This window comes from Homo sapiens, chromosome 2 (genome assembly GCF_000001405.40).
Source record: "Homo sapiens chromosome 2, GRCh38.p14 Primary Assembly".
NCBI classification, from domain to species: domain Eukaryota; kingdom Metazoa; phylum Chordata; class Mammalia; order Primates; family Hominidae; genus Homo; species Homo sapiens.
This window is the reverse complement of record NC_000002.12, coordinates 227,334,101-227,358,483: the sequence shown is the minus strand read 5'-3', so window position 1 is coordinate 227,358,483 and position 24,383 is coordinate 227,334,101. Positions and strand designations below refer to the sequence as shown.

The 24,383-nt window shown below is 36.3% G+C and overlaps 1 protein-coding gene and 1 pseudogene across 21 annotated transcripts in view; both read right to left on the bottom strand.

Moving 5' to 3' along the window:
- Positions 648-24,383, bottom strand: part of MFF (mitochondrial fission factor) — a 32,586-nt gene continuing 8,850 nt past the window's right edge. For 3 of the 21 annotated variants that reach the window (XM_006712637.3, XM_011511500.2, NM_020194.5), the window contains 6 exons: positions 18,104-18,192; positions 15,665-15,739; positions 11,100-11,258; positions 5,911-5,970; positions 2,723-2,807; positions 648-1,498 (listed from right to left, as the gene is read on the bottom strand). In XM_006712637.3, coding sequence (XP_006712700.1) covers positions 1,367-1,498; positions 2,723-2,807; positions 5,911-5,970; positions 11,100-11,258; positions 15,665-15,739; positions 18,104-18,192 — 600 coding nt within the window. In that variant the 3' untranslated portion in view covers positions 648-1,366. The remainder of the gene's footprint in view (positions 1,499-2,722; positions 2,808-5,910; positions 5,971-11,099; positions 11,259-15,664; positions 15,740-18,103; positions 18,193-24,383) is intronic. The other 18 variants (XM_047445128.1, XM_047445130.1, NM_001277067.1 and 15 more) reach the window with 13 other exon arrangements.
- On the bottom strand, positions 21,491-22,928 carry STIP1P2 (stress induced phosphoprotein 1 pseudogene 2; annotated as a pseudogene).

The following is a 24,383-nucleotide window of genomic DNA, read 5'->3' as shown; positions in this document are numbered from 1 at the left end:
CCCAAAGTATTAGGATTACGGGCGTGAGCCACCACACCCAGCCTTGAGATTTAAATTCACCTATATATAATTAGCAAATAAATACTGCCATGAAAAAAGTATATACAACTCTGGCTGGGCGCAGTGGCTGTAATCCCAGCACTTTGGGAGGCTGAGGCAGGCAGACCACCTGAGGTCAGGAGTTCGAGACCAGCCTGGCCAACATGGCGAAACCCTGTATCTACTAAAAATACAAAAATTAGTTGGGTGTGGTGGCCAGCGCCTGTAATCCCAGCTACTCTGGAGGCTGAGGCAGAAGGATCACTTGAACCTGGGAGGTGGAGGTTGCAGTGAGCTGAGATCATGCCACGGGACTCCAGCATCAGCAACAGAGCGAGACTCCATCTCAAAAAAAAAAAAGTATACACAACTCAAGGTATTTAAACCTGAACCACTTTATAGATATTATAAATTAGAAAACCACCTACAATGCAACCAACAGCCACCACCACCAGGATGAAGGTCTGAAAGGAAGCACAGCAGGTTCTTGCTACCTACCAGGTCATTAATTGTATTACTTGCTCTGAGACGGGAAGACTCATAAGGTAATATGATACAAAATGTAGCTGATTGCACAAATGATGAAATAAAATCCTTCAACAGACAAATACTTCTTTGGTTGACAGTTTATTAAATACACTACATTTGTACCTTATTCTGTCGTTTTTTAAATTGTTCACGCATGAACTGAGTAAAAACGTACTTTATAGAAAACCAAGTGCAAAACTAAAATGAAAGAATGCACATATTGCACACATATGAAACTGCTGCAATGTTAGAAATTAATCTGTACAAGTACCTAATGAAGAAGGTTATGAAATATTAGGTGGTTCGAGTTTCTTAAATCTGGCACCAGACCATGACTTTGAAAGTGTTAATGTTGAAGTGTCGATGCAAAAATGTCTATTAACAAAACTGCTTAACACTGTTTGAGAAACAGGACAAAATAATTGTTTTTCTTTCACAGACACTTTTCTGAATCAATTCTCTACAGACTCTCTCCCATTCAGAATCAGTTGGGTGGACTGATGAGGCAAAAAATAAATTCCTTTTAAAAAACAAAACTGGAGCCTATTTACAAAACATGCAAAGGGAGAATTTTAAGCAGGTGTTACTGCAGAACTGCTCAGACGTGAATACAGCTGAGTGACAGAATATACCTTTACTTCTACAAATATAGGTCCTTCCTCCAGACTTTCTGGAAGAAATACATTTTCAGGGTGTGGACTATAAAATGGCATACAATGCAGAGACAGAAACAAAGAAGTTTGCAAATCTTTTATATTTCCAGCTGTTGAGACAGTATTTTTGAGGGCTGATGTTACCTCTAGCGGCGAAACCAGAGCCAGCTATTAAGCAGCCAGAAAGCTACAGTAATTGAATACATGACCATTTCTCTTTTAGCACGTTCTTTGTTCTCCTCTTCCAGAAGTTGTAGACGTCTATTTAGTTTGATTATCTAAGTGAAAAACAAACACACAAAAAATATAATATAGAGGCTTTAATGAATAGGGCAATCAGATTCTTATAAAGTAAGTAGTATAATAATTTGTCAACAAAAGTATTATTACAAACATGGAAAGTTTCATTTGGAGCAAAATAAACACAACTACACATAGAAAAACATGTCATTCATGACAGCTTAAATTCACTTAAACATCCTTTCCCTTTCCCTTCTTCAGATTTCTGAGTTAGGAAGGGTGTATTTCCTTCCTAACTTGATTACATAGTGAGGTGAGGAAGCGGTTACCTACTGTTATTCTGGCAGAAAAGACTCAGTATGCATTTTGGCAGGCTTACCACAGCAGAAAGAATACGGGACTCCTTCCCCTTTCTATGCCTCTCCTATGAACTTGTCACTCAACCTCAGTTGTTCATCTTGAACCTGGCATAACCGCCTTCTCTGTCCACCTCTGAGTTACTGAGACAATCCAATAAAATAATCTACTGTAGGGGGCCTTGGGATATGGCACCCAAACCCTTCAGGCCTGAAGGCTAATTCCCCAGCTGCTGGAAATGCTGCTGGCTGACAGTACCATCCTTGCTGTTAGCCCTTACTGTGAAAATCCCAGGGCTGAACAACCACCTGCTAAAGCTTGTGTTCTCCTACTGATCTTCACCTAAAAATATCTTATTTAATCCAATTTCCCTCTATATCTATTTGGTATAGACGCAATGAGAAAACCAACTATGCCTTCTTCACATGTGTGTATGTCTGTGTGATACTCGAGGCTGTGGGAGTACATATTAAAAAATATGCATGTGCAACTGCAGTTCTAAGAAAGGATTTATTACAGAATACAGGAAATACGTATGCAGGGATGCTGTGCAAGCTGCAAGGAGCGGTTTCCAAAATGGAGTTATTAAACACAGTAACAAAGGTTCCAAAGTAATTGTTCCACATTTCAAAAGCCAAACAAGCAACTGATGGCTGTACTGGTTTGCTAAAGATTCTTTGTTACTGGCCAGAATTACATTAATCTATCTTGGTAATACTGTTTTACGGTGATCAAAACATGTAAATGGTAGTTTAATATATCTTTAATCAAAATGAGAAAATCAATGATGGCTTACTAGTTTGATAGTCCCACAGGAGAGAAAATAATAAAATGTTGAGAACTATCACTTTAAAATATTGTATGAATATAACTGAGAAATATATCTTATTTGGTACACTAAATACCTGTCGTCTTAGTGAAGCTGCATCTACAACAGTCAGGTCATCTGACGTTCCTTCAATGGTTGTATCTATATTTGAAATGCCATACCTGCAGATAAGAGATAGAAATACAAATGAATAGTAAAGTAGAACTCAGAGTAAATGGCACGCCACATCATGCTTTGTGTAATGCTCAAAGTAGTATTCAGAAAATTGGTACTTAATAATATGAATTACTAAAATATTTTACTACCTGAATTTGTACTAATAAAGGAAAGAAAAAAGCTTAAAATGACAACTGTCTACAATATTGAAAAAGGGCACTAAAAACTGGAGAATGGGAAAAAAATCCTGACTAAAGAAACACATAGAAAATTCTCAAGCCAGAAGGATTGGCGATGCTAAAAAGGGTCCCTGGCTGAAAAGGTTTGAGAGCTGCCACTTAGGATAGAACAAAATATAATTCTTACACAAACTTATGTCCATATGTAAGCCCATAGGCACAGACTCACTAGCAGGGAACACAAAGTAGACTAACTCTAAAAAAAGAAAGACTCATCACCTCTTCTCACTGCCTCTTGTCTTGCCATTTTTATTCTTTACTTCTTGTCTTTTTATTTTTTTGAGACAGAGTTTCACTTTTGTTGCCCAGGCTGGAGTGCAATGGCACAATCTCGGCTCATTGCAACCTCCACCTCTGGGGTTCAAGTGATTCTCCTACCTCAGCCTCCCAAGTAGCTGGAATTACAGGCACCTGCCACCATGCCCGGCTAATTTTTGTACTTTTAGTAGAGATGGGGTTTCACCATTTTGGCCAGGCTGGTCTCAAAGTCCTGACCTCAGGTGATCCACCCACCTCAGCCTCCTAAATTGCTGGGATTACAGGCCTGAGCAACCACGCCTGGCCTATTCTTTACTTATTTCCAATTACTTATGCTCTACTGTGTTCTCCCGCAGAAACAATTATAAAATCTCCTGAATACATCTTACCACTACATTTAGCTCCAGAATTGGCCCAATAATGAATAAAATGCTGTGTATAAAATAATACTGAAAAACCATTAAGACAAAATCCAGAGAAAGCATATTAAAAAAGTACTTTTTGTTCCAATGTAGTTACTTCTAAAGCGGCACTAATTTCTAGGTGAATGACACTAAACCTCTGAAAAACAAAGACAAACGCCATTCCTCTTCTTTGCCTGGATTTCCACATTTTAAAATTTAGTTTAATTAATAGCTTCATTGAGATACAACTTATATAACCACATAATTCACCTCACATGTATTTTATACCCTAAATGGTTATTTTAGTAAAATGGCATAGTAAATTTTCTAAATGAGCAGAATATAAATAAACTAAATTAAAAGTTATTCCTGTGTAGTCCAGAGAATTGGCAAATGGATCATCTATTCTAATACCTATCCCAGCAAGTCCCCACTACAAAAAGTACATACCCACAAAAAGGGATATGAAGCAGAATTATACTTTTCATCCAGACATGTTAAAGACAAGTCTACTCAGAAAATCCTTTTGTTTTAAATATTGTTAAAAGTAATAAAAATACTTTAATAAAGTATGCAAAAAACCTTAAACAATAGATGGTGTGTACTGACTCTAGATAATCTACAACCATCTCCAAATATTCCTTCTATGGCTAAATTATCCTGCTTTCTCATTAACTGTCTCCTTATTTCATGAGAACACAGTAAACAACCTGGAGCAGTTAGGGTAATTATACCAGTTAGAGAAGTAAACTTCTAAGTTAGTAGATGCTGGAACTATGGGTTTACAAATGATTAGTGGAAAAAATAAAGGTAGAAGATTCCCTTTTCCTTCACTTCATCCTCAAAATAAAACTCTTCTCTTTCTCTGAGGCCACATAACAGAGGAATAATTAGGAAAAAAATCAAACAGAAGCAATTGTTAAAGGGATCTGAACTGAACATACAGAATGAAGTACAAATGAAAGCGATTACTCACAATTTATATCCTGAATTAACTAAGGTTTAGATATCTGAAATCTCGATTTGCAAAGAAATATAAGGATATGACAAAAGATTTTACCTATATACTTCAATTTAAAACAAAAATATGTTACTTTACATTGTGTTTTAAACAAAAACCGTATTTATTAGAACTAAAAAACTCTAATGCTAAGTTAGACCACTGGCTGAAAATACTCTGACAGAAAGATAAAAGATCACAAACTTAGAGAAAAATATAAGGGAAAACGACAATGAACTGAACTAAGATTGTAAAAAGAAACAAGTCAGCAGAGTGGTAAGGGATTACCACAGGCACGCTTTTCAATTCCTCCACCATGAATTCAATTTTAATGAGCAGCTAATGCTTCCCTTTTCTCTTGCTTCAATGAATGCACCAACTTCTAAGCACAGAAACGATGCTGCCAGTTTTAAATCTACTGCTACCGACAATATATTTCTGCTTAAATAAAACTGACTGAAAAAATTATACAGTAATAGCATCTGTGAATACCAACAAGTTTTTGATTTTTTCCAGACTATAGGAAAACTAAATGGGGATTTTGGCACTTAAGAACTGCATGTATTTGTATGTGCCATTCTGCCAGCCTCTGTGCGTGTCAGGAAGAAAGGAACGCTCAACCTACGCGTGTCTGAAAGTGTAAAAAGGGCAAAAATAAGAGAGAAGGCCTTAAATCAACAGATGATAAAAATGCTTAAAACTAAATTTCCTTTCTAAATATGTACCTTCCCAAACTGTGGAGTTGTTAATGCTGATTTCTCCCAATTTAAGATGAAGCCTTACAAACAAAGACAGGTTTGTTCACACACTAAAAGTAACATTCCAGATAATTAACAACTTAAAAGGAAATGCTGGGCACAATTCAGGCAACCATTAAAATGATGTACATAAAATAAGATTTAAGACTTTTTTCTGTTTTAGCATGTAAATTATTATAAACCACCTATAAACTATTAACACTACACTTAAATAAAATAGCTGTTCACATCATACCATAATTATTAAACATTTTCCCTCATACTAATTGGCCAAATGTCATGACTGATTATTCACTGTTCTTAGAGAGAAGCAAGATGTACTCATCGAGGAAAGCTGTAGAAACAAGTTCAGCTACAAACACAGGCATGGCTACGACATGCAACATGCCCTGCAACACACAAATTCCGCCAAGCATTTACCCTGGTAATTACGAAGTCTCAAAATTTACCTGACGTTGTCATGATGAGGATTAGAAGTGGCGGCAGCAGACCCACCACGCAACACAGGTCTAAGGCAGGTTTTTGCGGGAGAAGGCACAAGACAGAATCAGGAAACAGAGAAGTAATAAAATAAAAGCAAAAACAAGACAAATAAATGTCAAATAGGATTATATTGTATATTTCAATACAATATAATATCTCTCAACTACTTTAAAAAATCCTTGTCTCATGTGTCCTCCATTTTATCATTTTCATAAACTCAACATTACTATTGATCAAAGAAACAAAGGGAATCTATATTTACACGACAAAACAGCACCAACATATAAAATAATTTTCTTGGTGCTTTACTTTATGAAATTTAAGACAGAGGACAACTCTGCTTAAAAAGTGTAATTCCTTTCTTCCAGTTGGAAAAAAAAAATCACTAGCACCTTTAAAAGCATATCAGGACCTGGTTAGCTGCACCGGTATGACCACAGTTGCTCATCTGATATCAACAGCTCTATCTCAAAAACCGTATTCATAAATTTCAAGAAACTCCATTTCCCACACTTCCTTCCCTCCCACCTCATTAATTTTGAGTAGTGCCTGATGTCTCGTTGCAGCTGTGTCTCATTCAAACTCTCAGCTCTCCAGAGTGAAAATGCAAGCCTCCACTCTGAAGCTGAGATCAGGAGACGTGCTAGAGCACATTACAGGAAGGGCAATCCACAATTTGAGTCTGATCTTGAGACAGCCAGGAGTGACATACAGGGCTGCTGGAAATGAAGACTAAGGTGCAATGGGAAACTTGGTGGGGATTTCCACTCATTCTCAGTATATACTTTGGCGCTAGAGGACAGTTAGCTTTCTACTTTGATAAGCAGTAACCTTTCCAATACGTTTTATCTTTTAAAATCAGAAAACAAAAGCTTCTAAGTGTTCACTGGTCAATTCCCCCTAAAACAATCAGCAATATTTACTAAGCAGAGAAAGGAGACTGGAGTGTTGGATCCATATAAAGATTTGAAGAATTATTAAATCCTATTTTGGATATCTCATTCTCTAAGTAACTGATCTGGTTTTGCCTGAATTTAAGTATCAAGACAATAATTATATAATGGTAAATGTTTAATACCAAATGCACTAATTTTTTCTGTAAGTTGGCACAGCTGTGGAATTTTGACTACAATACAAATTATTTTCTGATAATTCAATTCATGTAAGAAAATTCTAATGTTTAACTTCTACATGTCTTAAAGGTACTACCAGTGCTTAAAGAAATTTCTGGAGCCTAGATGATAAGGGATTCAGAGACTTTTTGGGGGAACATGTTTGACTTTTATTTTACTGGCTAAAAAACATGGAGAAATCACATATGCTTAAGACAGGTCTTTAACTCATCTCATCCTACTAACATATTTACTCTGTGGCATTAGGAAACCTGTTATTTAACTACAATCTTAAATTGCACTAACATGAAAATGGTTAACTAGATGAAGCCATCACTGTGTGCTTCCTAAAGCTTTTTAAAATGCACACAGTATGTTCAAATGGGTCTGTCATATTCAACCTATTCCACCACAGAGATTTCCCTTTTATAACGCAGAGCCAGAAAATAATACAGTTACCTTTCACAACGTATTTCATTTTGTCTTCTCACACTGGCAATTGACACATATATTGTAAAAGTAAATTAGACAGGTATGTGGCAAAGTTAGAAACTTCATTCAAGTACCATTTTCTACGATAAGTATGATTTAATACATAAAATCTTCTCAACAGTATGTTTTGTAGAGTGGCAAAAGGGAAAGAAATCCAAGGCTACCACCAAGCTCCGCCATTAACTTGCGTACTGACATTTTTTGAGTAAATACACTCTGACGTAACAGAATATGTGTTTCTTTGCTATAAAAATGTAATCTGCTACAGAAAATAAAGTTTAATTGGGGATCAGGAATTATACACTTTTTTAAAGAGAAAAATTATAAATAACAAACGCTGTATCCACTGCAACTCTGGATTTCTAGGTCTTCCAAGCTGTATATTTATAGGGATACTTGCCAAAAATATAAATTATTCATACATTGGTTTCTTATTCTATGCACTCAAAGCTGGTACAATCTGTTAAGGAAAAACTGCATAAAAATAATCAAGCCCCTCGTAAAAATGAGAGCTAAGCATGACTCATCTATCAATATTTAAATAAGGTTCTTACACAGGAACTAAGTTTCTTTTTGAAGATGCGAATATTTTACATTGTAAAATGAGATACATAGCTCTAACAGATACAGGGAGAGACCGGCATTTTCTAACCAGTTAAGGACCAAATCATAATAGTATTTTAATTTCTGCTGCACCTGAGCAAATGACACACCTGGTGCTTTGGTAAATTTTCAGTGTATCAGTTCTCCAAATGCGTAACACTCACCTGTGTAAATAAACTTTTCTAACATGTACCTAGGATTTAACTTGGTTTTCACGTTGAGTTTGGTTTAGATCATCTACATTCTTGTAAGAAAAAAATATATGGTACACAAACCTTTTGACAGCGTCCTTTAAAATGTAAACTGAACACAGTTCTTATGTCAAGGAATTGTGAATCTGCATTACTTCATAGTGATAAAGCAAGCAGAAAGCTTTTTTCTTTTTCTGCCAAATAGTTCTAGTTTAAATTAACTACACCTAATGTGATGGCATATGACCAAAGATAAGGTATTGCATTAGCATAATAGCCAAGAGTAATAAAATAGAAAAGAAAAAATGATCTACAGAGCAAGGAACATAGAAGCACTTAAAATTTTATAAGCAGTATTATTTTATAATCATGCAAGTAGAACATTATCCAAATTTCACATTCCTATTTCTTATATCTGAAAAGTCATGCCAGATACTTCTCACAAAGGAAATAAAAACTGATTTGGCACTTAAAATTCTGATAAAATCTTGCTCAACACTGAGATCCTAAGTGAATACAACTTTAAAAAATCCTTTCAATACTGAAAGCGTCAATAAGACTGATGAGAATCTAACCCTCCAAGCTCCAAGGTAACAACTAATGCTACAGATCTAGGAGAAAAGCATTATTAATATAACTCCTTCATGAACTTTTAAAAACTTACTGAAATGAATGAGAAAAGAGAATTCCTTCCCAGAAAAGGGATTTTAGAGTTATCAATTCATCACAATGTAAAAAAGTGAAATAAAATTTCACTGAAAGTCCAAAAATATTTTTCATTATTAAAAAAATACAAAGTTTATACTAATACGATTTTTGATTTTATACATTTGACTCTGAGGCACAATTTTTTTTCCATTATGGAGGAAAAAATCCATATTTTTATAAGTTCCACATTATTGCAATGAACTGTGTATATGCTGGTGAGGGGGAATTGGGACAAATAATTTTTTTTCTTTTTTTACTTTTTGGGACATATAATTTTAATGTACTGTGACTCTGCCATCTAGCTATTATTACTTTTTATACAAGATTTGGAAATATCTCTCTCATTCAGATATTTTAAATGTAATAGCATTTGATATGATATACTCGCACCTAATAATCTGGTCTCCACTAAGGACTTATTGTAATTAAAAAGTTAAACAAGTTAGCTGATGGACAATAAATCTGTTTTAAGGAGGGAAGAGAAAACAGGCCCTTGTAAATATTAGCTCTTAAGTGCCAGCTACTTTATATGCAATATCGTTTGAAAGATCTCCTACCATACTAAATAAAGAATTGGAGGCCATTATCCCTATATTATAATTAAAGGTGGGGGAGGGGAGAAGATCCTCACAAGAATTCACAAAGCTAGATATTATTACCCTTCCTCTCTATTTCTCAACAGATGAGAAAAGTGAGGCCAAAAGAAGCTAAGCAATTTGTTCAAGGCCATCATGCAGCTATGTAGTGGGGTGGATCCGGGTTAATTCTAACTGACTCCCTGAATCCATGCTTTTTGTTCTGAACCTTGCTGCTTCTTACAGCTTCCCAATAGTCCAAGAATGGCTTTGAAGCTTCAAAAAGCATAAAAGGGAGTCTAAACCCTTGGGGAAAAACAAACAAAACAGATCTATACATATACATGTATATATAATTCCCCTCCCCACACCCTCATGCCATGAGCTTTCTTTTTAAGCTCTTCTTAGTGCAGCTTTCAGTCCTTGGGCCCAAATGCATAGCACTAGGTCAACTCTGGGAAGGCTCAGAAAGGCCCTGGATTCAACAATGATAAGTAGCATGGACAGGTGCTTACGAAGTATGGTGACATACCCAGGGCCTGTGTGAGGACTACAAGCACTCAACAAGAAAAAGTTTGTCCAGTGCAAGTCAGAAGTCATATTCGTTCCTAAGGTAAGAAACAGGATTTATTAGAAGGGATAGCTTAATTTATTGTGAAATTCTTCAAAATGCAAAAAGTAACAATTAAATAATCATGAAAATTCAAACCCTGACTACCAGAAGCCACTAGATAAATGTTCAGAGTTGAAATGAAATTGACTCTATCTTTCCCACACTATGCCAAAAAAGCTCCCTGAATTTCCTTTAAAACATTATGTAGTAATAAAGCAAGGACAAAAAGTACTTGAGATAACTGCAAAAAAATTATTTGTATGAATAAGTCTAAGTATACTACTGATGATTTTACCTGGAGATGTTCAAAAGTGAGATAAATTATCAACACTGAAAAATATCAGTATTATCAAAAAGATGATAGCACCTGGAATTTTCAAAACAAGCCTAGAAATCCGTAGCTGAGAGGAAAGGAAAAAAGTGTCCTGGCAGCTGCGCTGACATCACCTCCTCAGATTTGCTTTATTAATCCAATCATATCAGCAGCATAAATGATTAAATCAAAAGACTAACGAGGACTAGTAAACTTCAGTCTAACACTCAATCCAATGGGACGGGGCCCCTTGGCATATCCCTAAGTGGAATCAAGTACTTAGAGTAGGCTAGAAAAGCCTTTGAAAAAAATCACTACACTTTCTATGTATACTCTCCCTGACAGAAGGAAAGCTAATGTAATCTTGTGAAATGTGAATTTTGGACAATAATTTCAAATTAAAAGAAAGTAAAGCAAGCTGTTTCAAATCATTGCATCTTAGAAAGAGGCTAGAAGGTAAAAACAGAAAAGAAAGACACCACAGTCCACTAAACAAGAGGCCAAAAAATATGCAATAAAGCTGTCAAGAGTCACGGATGGCCAATCACCTGCGATTTTCATCCAGCACATCCAAGATCTGCTGGTATGCCCTACGAGTAGAAGACTGGATAAGCGACAAAATGCCACGAGCAGAGGAAAGATTAGCTCCATCTTCAGGTAACATATGGGGAGGACAGACCCGAGCCTGTTGTGGCGATGGTGTCACACTGTTTACACAAGCACAGCAAATGAAGAGAAAAACACTCAAGTCAGATTTTTATAAAACTTCAGCTGAGCAGTCTTTATCTTAATTTTCTTAGTGTTCTTGCCCCTTTCCCACCCTTCACTCTCCCCACAAGAAAACAGTCAAAGAATAAATATTTTGAATTGTTTCCAAAAACTAGCTACAAGGCAGCACTTATAACTTTGTAACCCTAAACATCAAAATAAATAAACTGAATATGAAAGAACTGTAGAGAGGGAAGAGAACTACAGCAATGAATGTGTTCAACCCCTCCCATGGAGAAGCAGCATTCTTTACTTCGTGTTTATATTCCAATTCAATAAACCAACTTCTAAGAAACAACACTGCTGTCGACTTATGGATGATTAGAAGAGTAGGACAGGGAATTCTCACATACAGATGTCAAAGTTTAAACACATGAATCAAAAGTGTGATTCCATAAAAACACCATTTCAAACACTTCGTAAAGCCAATGAAGTTGAAGTTTATGACGAATAAATGACACTGATTTAAGGATGAATTAGTCTTAGAAAATGGTAACAAAGCATTTTGATTGTTTAATTATAGTAAGCATATGTTCTCTAGTTAAATGACTAAAGCATAAAAATATTCCCAAATCTGTGAATACAGCAAAAGAAGGCAAGGACACTTCTTAAATTATCAATGGCTGATAACCATTTCTGGGCTTCTTAGTGACAATAATCTTAATCGTTCTTTCATGTGTGGGCTGAGATTCACAATTTCATTTGACTCCCCTGCCAGTGCTTTCTGAAAGCTGAATGAACCAATTCTTATGGTTCTAACCTAAACTCTTAAGATCTGTGTCAGTATTTTCAGGGAGCTGTTTAACATTACAGTATGATTATCTATTGTGAGGTATTTAACTGACATACAGACTACGACAGTGGAATGAGGGCTCAACATTCTCAACGTCAAGGCAAAACTAACATCAGGCTAAATGTCATCCAATGTGTATTACATCTGAAAGAATAAAAACAAAGCAGATGGTAAACAATTGAAAAAAGAAAATCTCTTATTTTGACTGTGTAATCTTTTCTAACAGCATGTATTTGTTTGGAAACTACAAAATAAGTGGGATAATTTTTGACAGGATAGTTATAGTCATCTGATATTATTCCCAGAGTCCCAGAAAATTAAAAAACAAAATCTCCTCCACAGCTTTATGAATAACTTTGAATGGCTTGGTGATCCAAAGACAGAAGTACCATAATATGAAAACCATGTTTTTCAAAGATTACTTAAAAGATCTAAGCCAAATCTTAACGTATAAAGCAACTATCTATCAAGCCTGATTCACTATAGGATTTAGGTCAAATTTGGTGTCAAGATAAACTCAAATTTTCAGATGCAGTCTCATGACCAGTGACCTTAAATGTCCGTCCAGAGACTGGCAATCTCTGGGAATACATATAAGCCAACATTATCTACTGATCCATGGTAATTGGCAAAACCCATACCAGGCATTCCAGAAGGGTAAAAACAAATAAACAAACAAACAAACAAATAAAAAAAACATCCTATTTGTGAAACAAAACTATATGTTAGTCTTACACTCAGAATTCTCTTTAGGCAGCACTGGGAAAACCTGAAGCTCTTACTGCTTGTGAGAATTAAAAAATGGTCAGTTCTACATCAACATAAACAAACAATCCATCTTACACTCTTCTTGATAGAGCAGCCAGCGTTAACTGCCTAAATTCACTCAAGCAAGTTTTAAAGGACAAATCCGTACTTTGCCTTTGCATTTGGGGGTTTAAATTGAACACTTTGTGTATCATTCTGTACTGATAAATAAACCAGCTATATACTAACATATTAAAGGCTACAATAATCAATATTTAGAATTATAATCTTGGGGCAACAGTATGAATGAACTAAACTCAAATCCATGAAAAAAACTTAATGGATGTTGGCCCATTAAAAATTAAAATAAAAGAAGGGTTACTTCCTCTAAGAGAAATCCTTTTGCCAGAAACAAACAATAATGAATTGTTTATTTAAACTGTAAAAGTACAAGTATTTTCTGTCCATATATAGGAAATGAGGAGGTCATCTTATAAAATAGTCAAACATAAACTTACTTCAGACTAACTGCAAAGAGTTCCTAAGATGGAATGCAGAAGGTTGGATTCTAAAACAATCTATAAGATCTCTCTCAATTCTAAGATTTTACGATCACATGAAATTGGAATACAATGAGAAAAAACCTTACATGATCCTCAGTTATAATTTAACATGAAAAATACTTATGTAGAAAGATAAAAGATGAAATTAAGTTTTTATCAATACTAGTAAAGATATTTATTTCCTCAAAAACCAGCATCAAAAACATAACTTGAGGTTCTAGTTGTTTCTCAAAAGAAATTAACATTTCAAAGATTAGTAAAAAAATTAGCTTTTCATTCATGTGTATGGCAATCCTCCATAAACAAAAAACGAAATCGGGAGTATTTTTTTTTTTTAATTGATGACTACTTTTGCCAGTGTTGTATAGATTAAATGTCCTTGTTTGGTAACATTTAATTCCATCCACAGATGAAATAAATCACCATTAAGACTGCCAAAACTACATTAGTAATTAGAGGCAATAAATAATTTAGCAATTGTCTTTCCTTTTTAAAACTTTAAGCAGTCTTGTTGGTATTTTTTACAAATAAATGTAAAAACAAAAAAGAATAAGCTCCATTTTAGCAATCAGTTTGACAGGAGCTAAAATGTACTCCACAGCTATCAACTGTGGAGGGAAACAGCGCTTTCATCTCCGTCCACTCATGGACCCAACCAAGGTTTAATGACTTCCTGTTTCTGTAGTTTTGACAAGTGAACTATTGTGGAAAATAAAAAAGTAAACATACTGCAAAGGCACTGAGAAGATTAAGTAAATGGCATTATATATATATTAGTAATTTAATAAAAATGCAATTTGATAAACTGATTCCAGTGATATTATAAAATAGCAAAGTCTCAACATTACCTTTTTAAAAGAAAAGATTAGAAAATTTTGAAGAAAGCACTGATGTTTACCATGCTTCATTAGTAATAGCTCTACCTCATGCTTACATGAAATCTTATCACATAAGAGTTACATAAACAACACCAGGGCTGGGCACAGTGGCTCATGCCTATAATCCCAGCACTTTGGGAGGCCAAGGTGGGCAGAGCACTTGAGGTCAGGAGTTCAAGACCAGCCTGGCCAATATGATGAAACCCTGTCTCTACTAAAAATACAAAAGTTAGCCGGGCATGGTGGCATGTGCCTGCAGTCTCAACTACTTGGGAGACTGGGGCAGGAGAATCGCTTGAACCCGGGAGGTGGAGGTTGCAGTGAACTGAGATCACGCCATTGCACTCCAGCCTGGAAGTCACAGTGAGACTCCGTCTCAAAAGAAAAAAACAAAACAACCAAAAAAACACCAGCCAATTGTCAGAATTAAAATTTAAATAAAAATTTACTTGGCATAACTATATCATTATTAAAAGTAAGTTCAAAATCAAGTACCTCTTTGAGTTTTCATAGGAATAATGTTTCCCAACCTGTGAATTTAACCTCTTCGGTGAGGTATCACTCTTCCAAAAAATAGGGTAAAACAATAAAGAGAAAAAATTTTCACTAAAACACAAATATATTAATTTCTCTTGGAATTGTAAATACAGAGGAAATTTTAATATATTGCCACTATCTATGGCAACTGAATAGTTCCTGGAAGCATAATAATAGAACCAGAATAAGAGGAAAACTGTTGGCTTTCGGTGCAGTTTCTTCTGTTGCTTAAGAAGTGTATTAGCTATTGAATACCTGTATTATATACCAAAACGTTGTGCTCCATGAGTGAGTCATTCTCATACCTTATTTTGTCACATGGAAAGAGTGGGTTTAATAATAGCAAAAAAGTGCTTCCAAGCATCGTTTTCATCTATGGGATTATAAAATAAATGACAAACCACACTTATGCTCCATTCTCCTTCAGAAACAAGATAGAAGAAGAAAAGACAGTGCGCTGAAATTAAAAAAAAAAAAATTGGGATCACTGCACCAGGTGACGTTGAATCTGTTGAGAACTATTATACCAACCAAAGCAAAATAAACAAAAAAGGATGCTTGGTCCTTATGTGCATATTATATTTCAGGTTCCTTTCACCAACACATGCAAAATCATATACAACTTCCTTAGATGGTCTAGTTTTTTTTTTTCCTTAATAAAGCATATAATGACAGTTTGAGAAATCCTGAAACAGAGGTACTAAAAAGCCAAACAGGAAGATAATTAGGATAGCATACGTCAATTACCTGGTGAATAGATTAGTATTAACATAATCCTTCAAAATCAAAACAACTACTTGTCAAAAGCAGAGCAGATAAAATCTTACGTGTACTCCGGTGCAGAAATCGGTGCCTGGAACCTTGAAATTTTATTTCTTGGGGCAGAATCTGATCTGTGCCACCTTAAATAATAATTATGCTTCTTTTACATATTCAGCTTTTATAACACAAAGAAAAAGCTAGATCTGATTTTACTGTTTAGAATTCACTTTTGCGCTAATAGCTGACCACAATCTTATTGCCTCTTCGAAGTAATTAAGAAAACAAAGGCTAGTGCTCCTGCTCTCATACCCGTTCGCACTTTTATTCTTAAAGCCATGGAATAAAATAAAGTGGAGACAGGCAAAGTTTCATGCACTATGACGCACAACAATTTCATGTTACAAAGAAAACACTAAAGTAGGTAAAGATAGTAAGAGTTTAATAATTATTTTAATAGAGGTATTATATCAATTGTTTTTTCCTCACTACGTTAACAACACTGAATAATATGTTCATTATACAAAATTCTAAAGTTAGTAAGATGTAGATTCTTAAAGATAAATTGTAAATTATAAAATTAACAACAGTAGGAAAAGAAAGGGCAAAGTTACATTATTAACAAAATACATACATAACATGGTAATATACTTTACAACCATAATGAAAAATATGGTTAAGCAATGTTAAGTGTTTCACTGTGAAAATGTATAAAGATTCATTACTTTTACTATCAAAAATGAGATTTTCAGTTTTACTAAAAATTTAGAAAATGTCATTAAAGCAACTTAAAGAAAAAAAAAGAAAATCAAGTATTAGTTAACACTGTAAATCTTTTCTGTTATGAGGAACTTATGTTATTGAGTAAATACAAAAACATCTATATCATCTACTCTAAATTATACTTCACTGGACTGGTTTTCGTACATAATAAAGGGGTTTCCTTTCTCTTCAGCTGAATGCAGCTATAAATAATATATACTTCGGGAGAAAAAATAAGAGTGGTGCTATATTACAATAATCTTGTTTTTATTAATATAAAATGTCAAAGTAGCTAAGAACCTAAATAGTAAGCCACATCTTTATAAAGTGGAAAAGCTTACTAGAAATCTTTGTTGCCTTAGGATAATGTTACAAAAAGAAAATAATTAAAGCTCTTGAGTGTATGTTTAATCACTCTAAAGCAGATCAAGAAGCCACCTTAGCCATAAATGATACAGCCTCTTTACCGTTTGTGTAATACATTTGGAAATAGTCTAGAAAAAATGGATTTCATGGGCCTGCTGACATCACTGCTAACCAGATACCTTTAGGGAAAACACAATCAAAAAATTTTATATTACTAATGGTTGAATCTTGCATAAGCATTCCCTGAAGGAGATATATATTCATTTTAACCTGCTCTCTTCCTACACAGCCTTTCAGAATAATTTTAACTACCTTAGGAGATATTTCAATATTCTATAAGAAATCAGAGCAGTTTTAGTTCTCCTTTCACCTAACACAAGAGAATGGAATTTCAGTAAGGCAAGCAAATAATTTATATAGAAATTAGAACTTCCTTGTTCTTTCAAAGCAAGGATTTGAAAAAAAAAAAACCTCTCTCTACCTTTAATATCAATGACCCTAACCCCAACAAAACCCCTTCTGTACCCCTATACTCTTTAGAGAGGTCCAAACTAGAGATTAATATGCTGTAATATAAATCACTGTATTGTCCTCTAGTTATTTTGTAAATAAAATTAAATGCTTTGCTTCTATTTAGATTTGCTAGCTCTCAGAAGAGATGTATCATCTCCTGATTCTTTCAGTTTCCACAGACGCTTACATGATACTTGCCATCACATGTGGTTCATGAGTTTACGAAAATTGGCCAAAACATTAATGAGGAAGAAATATTAATTTATATTTAAAAAGCCACTACTGACAATGACTTTCTGATTAAAATTCTGACCAGTTTTCGAAGAACATTTTGTTTGTAAAAATCCATTAATTTTAATAAAAAAGTAAAAAAGCACTGACATTAATAATCTTGTGGTAGCTTTAAGATCAGAATTTGATAATACAACCAAATGAAAAAGAAAGGTTTAAACAAATAGTCTTTTAAACAACATACTTGTATGTTCTGAAAATGAAAAGGACCAAAAAATTCAATGAATCGTAAGGGAGAAAGCTAAAAAATACTTTTGGAAAGAAAAAAATTCTATTTGTCTTGCTACACTGTTTAACATAGCTCATTAGAAGCAAAGCTGGAAAGGACCAGTTCACCATCTTATGACAACTTAATTAGCAAATCATACTACACAGGAAAGGATAAGGTGACTGAAAAATTCTCAGGACCAACAAAATGGCCAGATTTTAAGATTACAAAAAGTATTACAAAAATATAAAATTGATGTAAAACAAATTTTAAAAACTACATGAAGTAATTATTTAGAAAAACATGGGTACAGAAAATATCCTGAGAAAACTTACAAACGAGATAAAATGCTAGTGCTTCTACTCACAGAGAATCATTTCTGACCAGCTGTCCATTTTGGCGAACAGCATTTTCACTCATAGACCGCTCTCTTTTTAGTCTGCCAACTGCTCGGATCTGTTAAGGCACAAAGAGAGGGAAGGAAATAGAAATATTCTTAGTAGGCTAGTAGCTGCTTAGCATCAAAAGAACCTCGATACAAGGCTACTCAAAAAACTTACAACGAACTAAGAAAAGGCAACCAAGAATTGCTGCCAGGCAGTGTATTACTGACAGACTTGCTTTAAAAACAAAACAAGACACACACACACACACACCCTACTTACTATAATGCAGATAAACAGGAATGTCTATTTACTTTAAGAACGCTACTCTAGTTTCTTTTTAAGTATCAATTTTACTTGGTACAATTATTATTTGTTTAACCTTATGGTATATACTTATTTATAAGAACAATTTATAAAAGTGTTTACAGGCACATATAGGAAATGGAGAGCATCTGTATTATAAATAAACCTTCCTGGCTTCTACGGTTGTAACAAATTAAGATTTGGTTGAATATTTGAAAACTAGACTAAAAATGTATCTAGCTTAATGGTTTTGGCATTCCAGAATGGCTGCAATCTCTAATCCCACATGCTCTTCTTATGAAATGTATCTTTGACCTTCTTCATTAAGAGACAGGATCTGTTTCTTTCCCCTGAAATTCAGAGGGCTGGTGACTCCTATAGAAATGATGCAAAGTGACTTCTGAGGCTAGGTCATAACAGTACAGCTTCTGCCTTTCTTTCCCCAGGTTGCTCATATTTGGAAGAATGGCACCATGACACAAGGAAGGCCAAGTAGCCACACAGTGAGGCCATGTGTAAGTGCACCTGCCAACAACCCTAATGGAGGTCCCAGACAACAGCTAGTACCAAGTGACATGTGAGTGAGCAAACCTTCAGATAACTGCAGATCCAGCTGTTGAGTTATCCTTTGCCTTTGAGACTTCCTAGCTTAGGCCCCAGACATTGAAGAACAGAAACAAGCTTTTCCCTTCACGGCAACTGCAAATACCTAACCCACAGAATGCTTGAGCAAAACATAGGCTTGTTTGTTTTAAGCCACTAAGTTTAAGATGATTTGTTACACAGAAATGGATAACTAGAACAGTGATAATCATTAACTTTTCTGCTTATTTGAAAATACCTTTTTTTTTTTTTTTGAGATAGGATCTTGCTCTGTCATCCAGGCTGGAGTGCAGTGGCATGCTCATGGCTCGTTGCAGCCTCAGCCTCCTGGGCTCAAGTGATCCTTCCATTTTAGCCTCTGAAGTAGCTGGGACTATAGGCACACACCACCGCACCTGGCTAATTTTTGTATTTTGTAGAGATGGGGGTTTTGCCATGTTCCCCAGGCTGGTCTCGAACTCCTGAGCTCAAGTGTTCTGCCCACCTTGGCCTCCCAAAGTGTTGGGATTACAGGTGTGAGCCACTGAGCCCAACAAAAATACTAAAAAAAACAAAACAAACAAAAAACCCCCCACTAAAATAGCCATGGCAACATTATGGTTTTTTTTTTTGTTTTTTTTTGAGACAGAGTCTTGTTCTGTCGCCCAGGCTGCAATGCAGTGGCACAATCTCGGCTTGACTCACTGCAAACTCTGCCTCCCGGGTTCAAGCAATTCTCCTGCCTCGGCATCCTGAGTAGCTGGGATTACAGGTGTGTGCCACCACACCTTGCTCATTTTTGTATTTTCAGTGGAGACGGTGTTTCACCATGTTGGCCAGGCTGGTCTCGAACTCCTAATCTCATGATTTGGCTGCCTCAGCCTCCCAAAGTGCTGGGATTACAGGCGTGAGCCACTGCGCCCGGCCGACATTATGGTTTTTAAAAAATTAAACTTTATAGTAAAAAAACAAATAGTGTGTGAATTAAGGACTTGAAAATTAAGATTTTCAAAATATCAATCAATATTTATTGATGTTTTTGGTTGGGCACGGTGGCTCACACCTGTAATCCCAGGTGGATGTTTTTCTTTTCTTTTTTTTTTTTTTGAGACAGAGTGTCACTCTGTTCCCCCAGGCTGGAGTGCAATGGTGCTATTTCAGCTCACTGCAACCTACACCTCCTGGGTTCAAGCAATTCTCATGCCTCACCCTCCCGAGTAGCTGGGATTACAGGTGCATGCCATCTCGCCCAGATAATTTTTGTTATTTTTAGTAGAGATAGGGTTTCACCATGTTGGCCAGGCTGGTCTTGAACTCCTAACCTCAAGTAATCCACCCACCTTGGCCTCCCAAAGTACTGGGATTACAGGTGTGAGCCACCATGCCCGGCCTGGATGTTTGTTTTGTTTCAATCTGAGATTTTTTTTTTTTTCCAGATAGGGTCTCATTGTGTTGCCCAGGATGGAGTACAGTGGCACAATCTTGGCTTATGCAATCTCTGCCTCCCGGGTTCAAGAGATTTTCATGCCTTAGCCTCCTGAGTAGCTGAGATTACAGGTACACACCATGACCAGCTAATTTTTGTATTTTTTGGTAGAGATGGGGTTTCACCATGTTGGCCAGGCTTGGTGATCTCTTGACCTCAAGAGATCCACCCACTTCGGCTTCCCAAAGTGCTGGGATTACAAATGTGAGCCACTGTGCCTGGCCTCAATGCAGAATTTTAAAATGTCTTTCAGAATCATCCTTCAGTGGTTATGCACTTAGTTTTATTCATCCCGGAGGCTGAGAAATAGTTTCCTAAGTTCAAGCAGCTTCCTGGAAGTTGGGTCACAGTGTCTAGTGCTACATAGTTATATAACATGTAGCACTAGACACTTTGCATGCTTGCATACAATTCTCCTTTAATATGCTTACACCCCAAGTTAAATTTGATTGTTCATAAATTCCTGGGCAAGTAAATGTCCTCTAGGTTTTTTGATGGCTGATTCTCTCAATCTGTTCAAAGCCCACCTCTTCTTCAGGAATCTACTCAGAGCCTTCGTGTTTTTCCTCTATACTCACCCCCATTTTCTGTGGGACTTTTATGCAGAAGGGGGAAAGGTACAAATTATCAATGTAGACTGAACAGTTGGGATAAATATCTTCCCTCCCCAACATGTGCATTGTCCAAAATTTAAAATCACGAATCATGGGGAGAACAGTTAAGCCAGTGACTGCGGGTTTTGGGAAGGACACATAGCCCAATTTGTCAGGAGTGACGAGACCATGCTTGTGCTAAGAGGGCCATAAAACTGTAGCTGTACAAAGAACGCAAGTGTCCATCTCTGAATTTTCCATGCATGAATGTGTAAACATATATACAATTCAGCTTTTCCTCTTCTCTCCAGACTTTTGCTCCATTCTGCTCATTGCAGTCCCAGCTCCTCTTTCCAGAAGTGATGAGGAAGGAAAAAGAGCTCAAGAAACCATCACCAAAGTGTGATCAGACCCATATTCATGAAGTTCTTGATTTTCTAAGCTTCCACAGGACCCTTTTAAATATTCACTGAGTCCCTGGGAGCCCTTCTGCATTTGTTTTAGGATATGTCATATAGCTATGGTTTTTTGCTTCACATCCTTAGCGTTGTCATATCAATTGAACTGGGCACCAATAACCATCTGCTACTTCTTTACGGTAGAATTACAGGTCTAGGGCCTTCTGCTAGACATTCATGGCTTTTGTGTCATCCTTCAGATTCTAAGGCTGCTGCTTTCTAAGTATAATCTGTGTTAAGGGTGGATCTAGCTAGATATTTCTTCTACTCCTCCAGCTCTGGCTGTACACTTTGGATATAACTGCTGTAGAATTTGGCATCCTGTGGAGGATGCCATTTGATGGCTTCTGTATAAAGCTGGCATGGCTTGGAGATAGTTCCATTTCTGAAACCACTCAATGCCTTTACTCTTCTCCTCCAAAATCAGGTCAGATTTTATATATGCCAACTGATTTTGCTCTTTCCAGATTAATTCCTAACTATTGACGATTCTTGTGTATATCTGGGGTTCAGTGCTCTTCCAAAGATTTATTATAGAAATGAATAGTATTCTCGTATTTCTCCTCTTTGAAGTAAGAGATGCCAACTTGGGCAAAAGCTTTTACTCTCTATCTTTAGACCAGTCTGTTTTTTCTTCCAACTTCAATGGCCTTCTCACAAAGCTCTTAGGGTTTATTGTAGCTGATTTTTTCAAAGCATATCACGGCTTGATTGATAGGATTTAACGGCAGAGTCCACATCTTTGACTTAGTCACACTGTTCAAGGTTGTGTCAAATCTTCTTACAGGCAGCATTTTCCAACTCTTTCTTTACAGTTCTTCTTTCTTGTTCTCTGGAAGATCCTTCCCCACTGGCTCCAGTTCGGATTCCTTTTTGAGAAGAGCTGGTAATGTCAGTGTTACAGCTTCTTTCTCCTCATTCACACTGCCTAGTCTACTGTAGGAACACTGAAAACTGTCATGACTTGGGCATTTTGTATTTCATGCCCAGATCACATGGTTTATTGAACAGTTGCTTTGTTAGTTCCCAGCAGACAGAATCACCAAGCAATGGTCTTATCTTAGAGCTGATTTCCAAATATTGGTGGAGATTAGGCATATTGAAAGTGTTTGTCAACTTCCTCTCTTCCAGCCAAGCCTCACATTTTTAAACTGTCTTTGAGCTAAGGGATTATTTATGTTATGTTTTAAGCCCTCCTCAAGGGCTCACCTGGATTCTTTAAGCCAGTTTAAGAACTCAAGTACAACTGCTTTCTACAAATTTATCCCTTGCATCAATCAGGCTTTCAGACAACAATTTTATAGGCTTCCTCATAAGCCTTCTCCTTTCTTGAGATAGGTCAGTGGTTTTCAGTAGGGGGTGATCTTGCCCTGTAGAGAACATTTGGCAATGTCTGGAGGTATTTTCTTTTTTATTTTAAAACACACATAACATACACAATTTTAACCATGTTGAAGTGTACAATTCAGCGGCATTTAGTACACTCACAACGTTGTGTAATCATTACCACTATCTAATTCCGGAATATTTTCATCAGCCCAAAAGGAAACCCCATACTGATTAAGCAGTCACTCTCAAGTCCCCTCTCCTCTAACCCCCTGACAACCACTGCTCTGTATCCTGTCTTCATTCATTTGGCCACTCTGGATATTTCATGTAAGTAGAAAAATGCAATATATGGCCTTTGTTGTCTGGCTTCTTAAACTTTACATGTTTTCAAGGTTCATCCATGTTGTGGCATGTATCAGTACCTTTTTTTTTTTTTTTTGAGAGACAGAGTCTGGCTCTGTTGCCCAGACCGGAGTACAGTGGCACAATCTCGGTTCACTGCTACCTCCACCCCGGGGTTCAAGTGATTCTCCTGCCTCCCCCTCCAGAGTAGCTGGGATTACAGGCGTCCACACCACCATGCCCAGCTAATTTTTGTATTTTCAGTAGAGACAGGGTCTCACCATGTTGGCCAGGCTGGTCTTGAACTCCTGACCTCAAGTGATCTGCCCACCTCAGCCTCCCAAAGTGCTGGGATTGCAGGCATGAGCCACCGCACCCAGCCAGTACCTCATTTTTTTATGGCTGAATAAGAGTTACTATATGGCTAGATGATGTTTTGCTTATCCATTCATCAGCTGATGGATATTTTACTTGCTTCCACCTTTTTGCTATTACAGACATTTTTGGATATCATGACTTGGAAGACGGTAATGGCATCTTGTAGATAGAGATCACAAATGTTGCAAACATTCTACAGTGCAAAAAGGTGGCTCTCACCACAACAAGGAATTTTCCAGTCCAAAATGCCAACAGTGCTGAGGTAGAGCACTATTGCTCTACCTCATTCTAGCATCCACTGCAGAATGATACAGAGCAAATGTTCTGGGGATCTCACTTTATCGATTCTGAGTTAACACCTGAATGAATCATCAATGTTATCAGTACTCAGGCCCTTACTGCTTCTCTATTTCAGTCAATTTCTAGAAGCTACTAGAACCCTGGCTCCCTTACCCCTTCCTCCCTTGCTCACTGCAGTTGAGTGCTTCTTGAAGGCTACTGGACCCTTCTATAAGCTTGTATAAACTTGAAGTCCAAACCATCATCTTTGCTTTCAATAAGCAGCTGGTATTAATCTCAGAAACTCGTCTTTCATTTCAGGATCTGGCTCCTGCCACAGGATTTTAAGTCTCTCCTAACAATAACATTTATATATATTGAGCTTTTAACACGAATTAGAACATGCATGATTACATTTAATTCTCATAACAATCTCATGCACTTGGCATTATTCTTATCTTTATTTCAGAGATACGCCCTAGAACTGTTAAATAACTTGCCCAAAGTTATG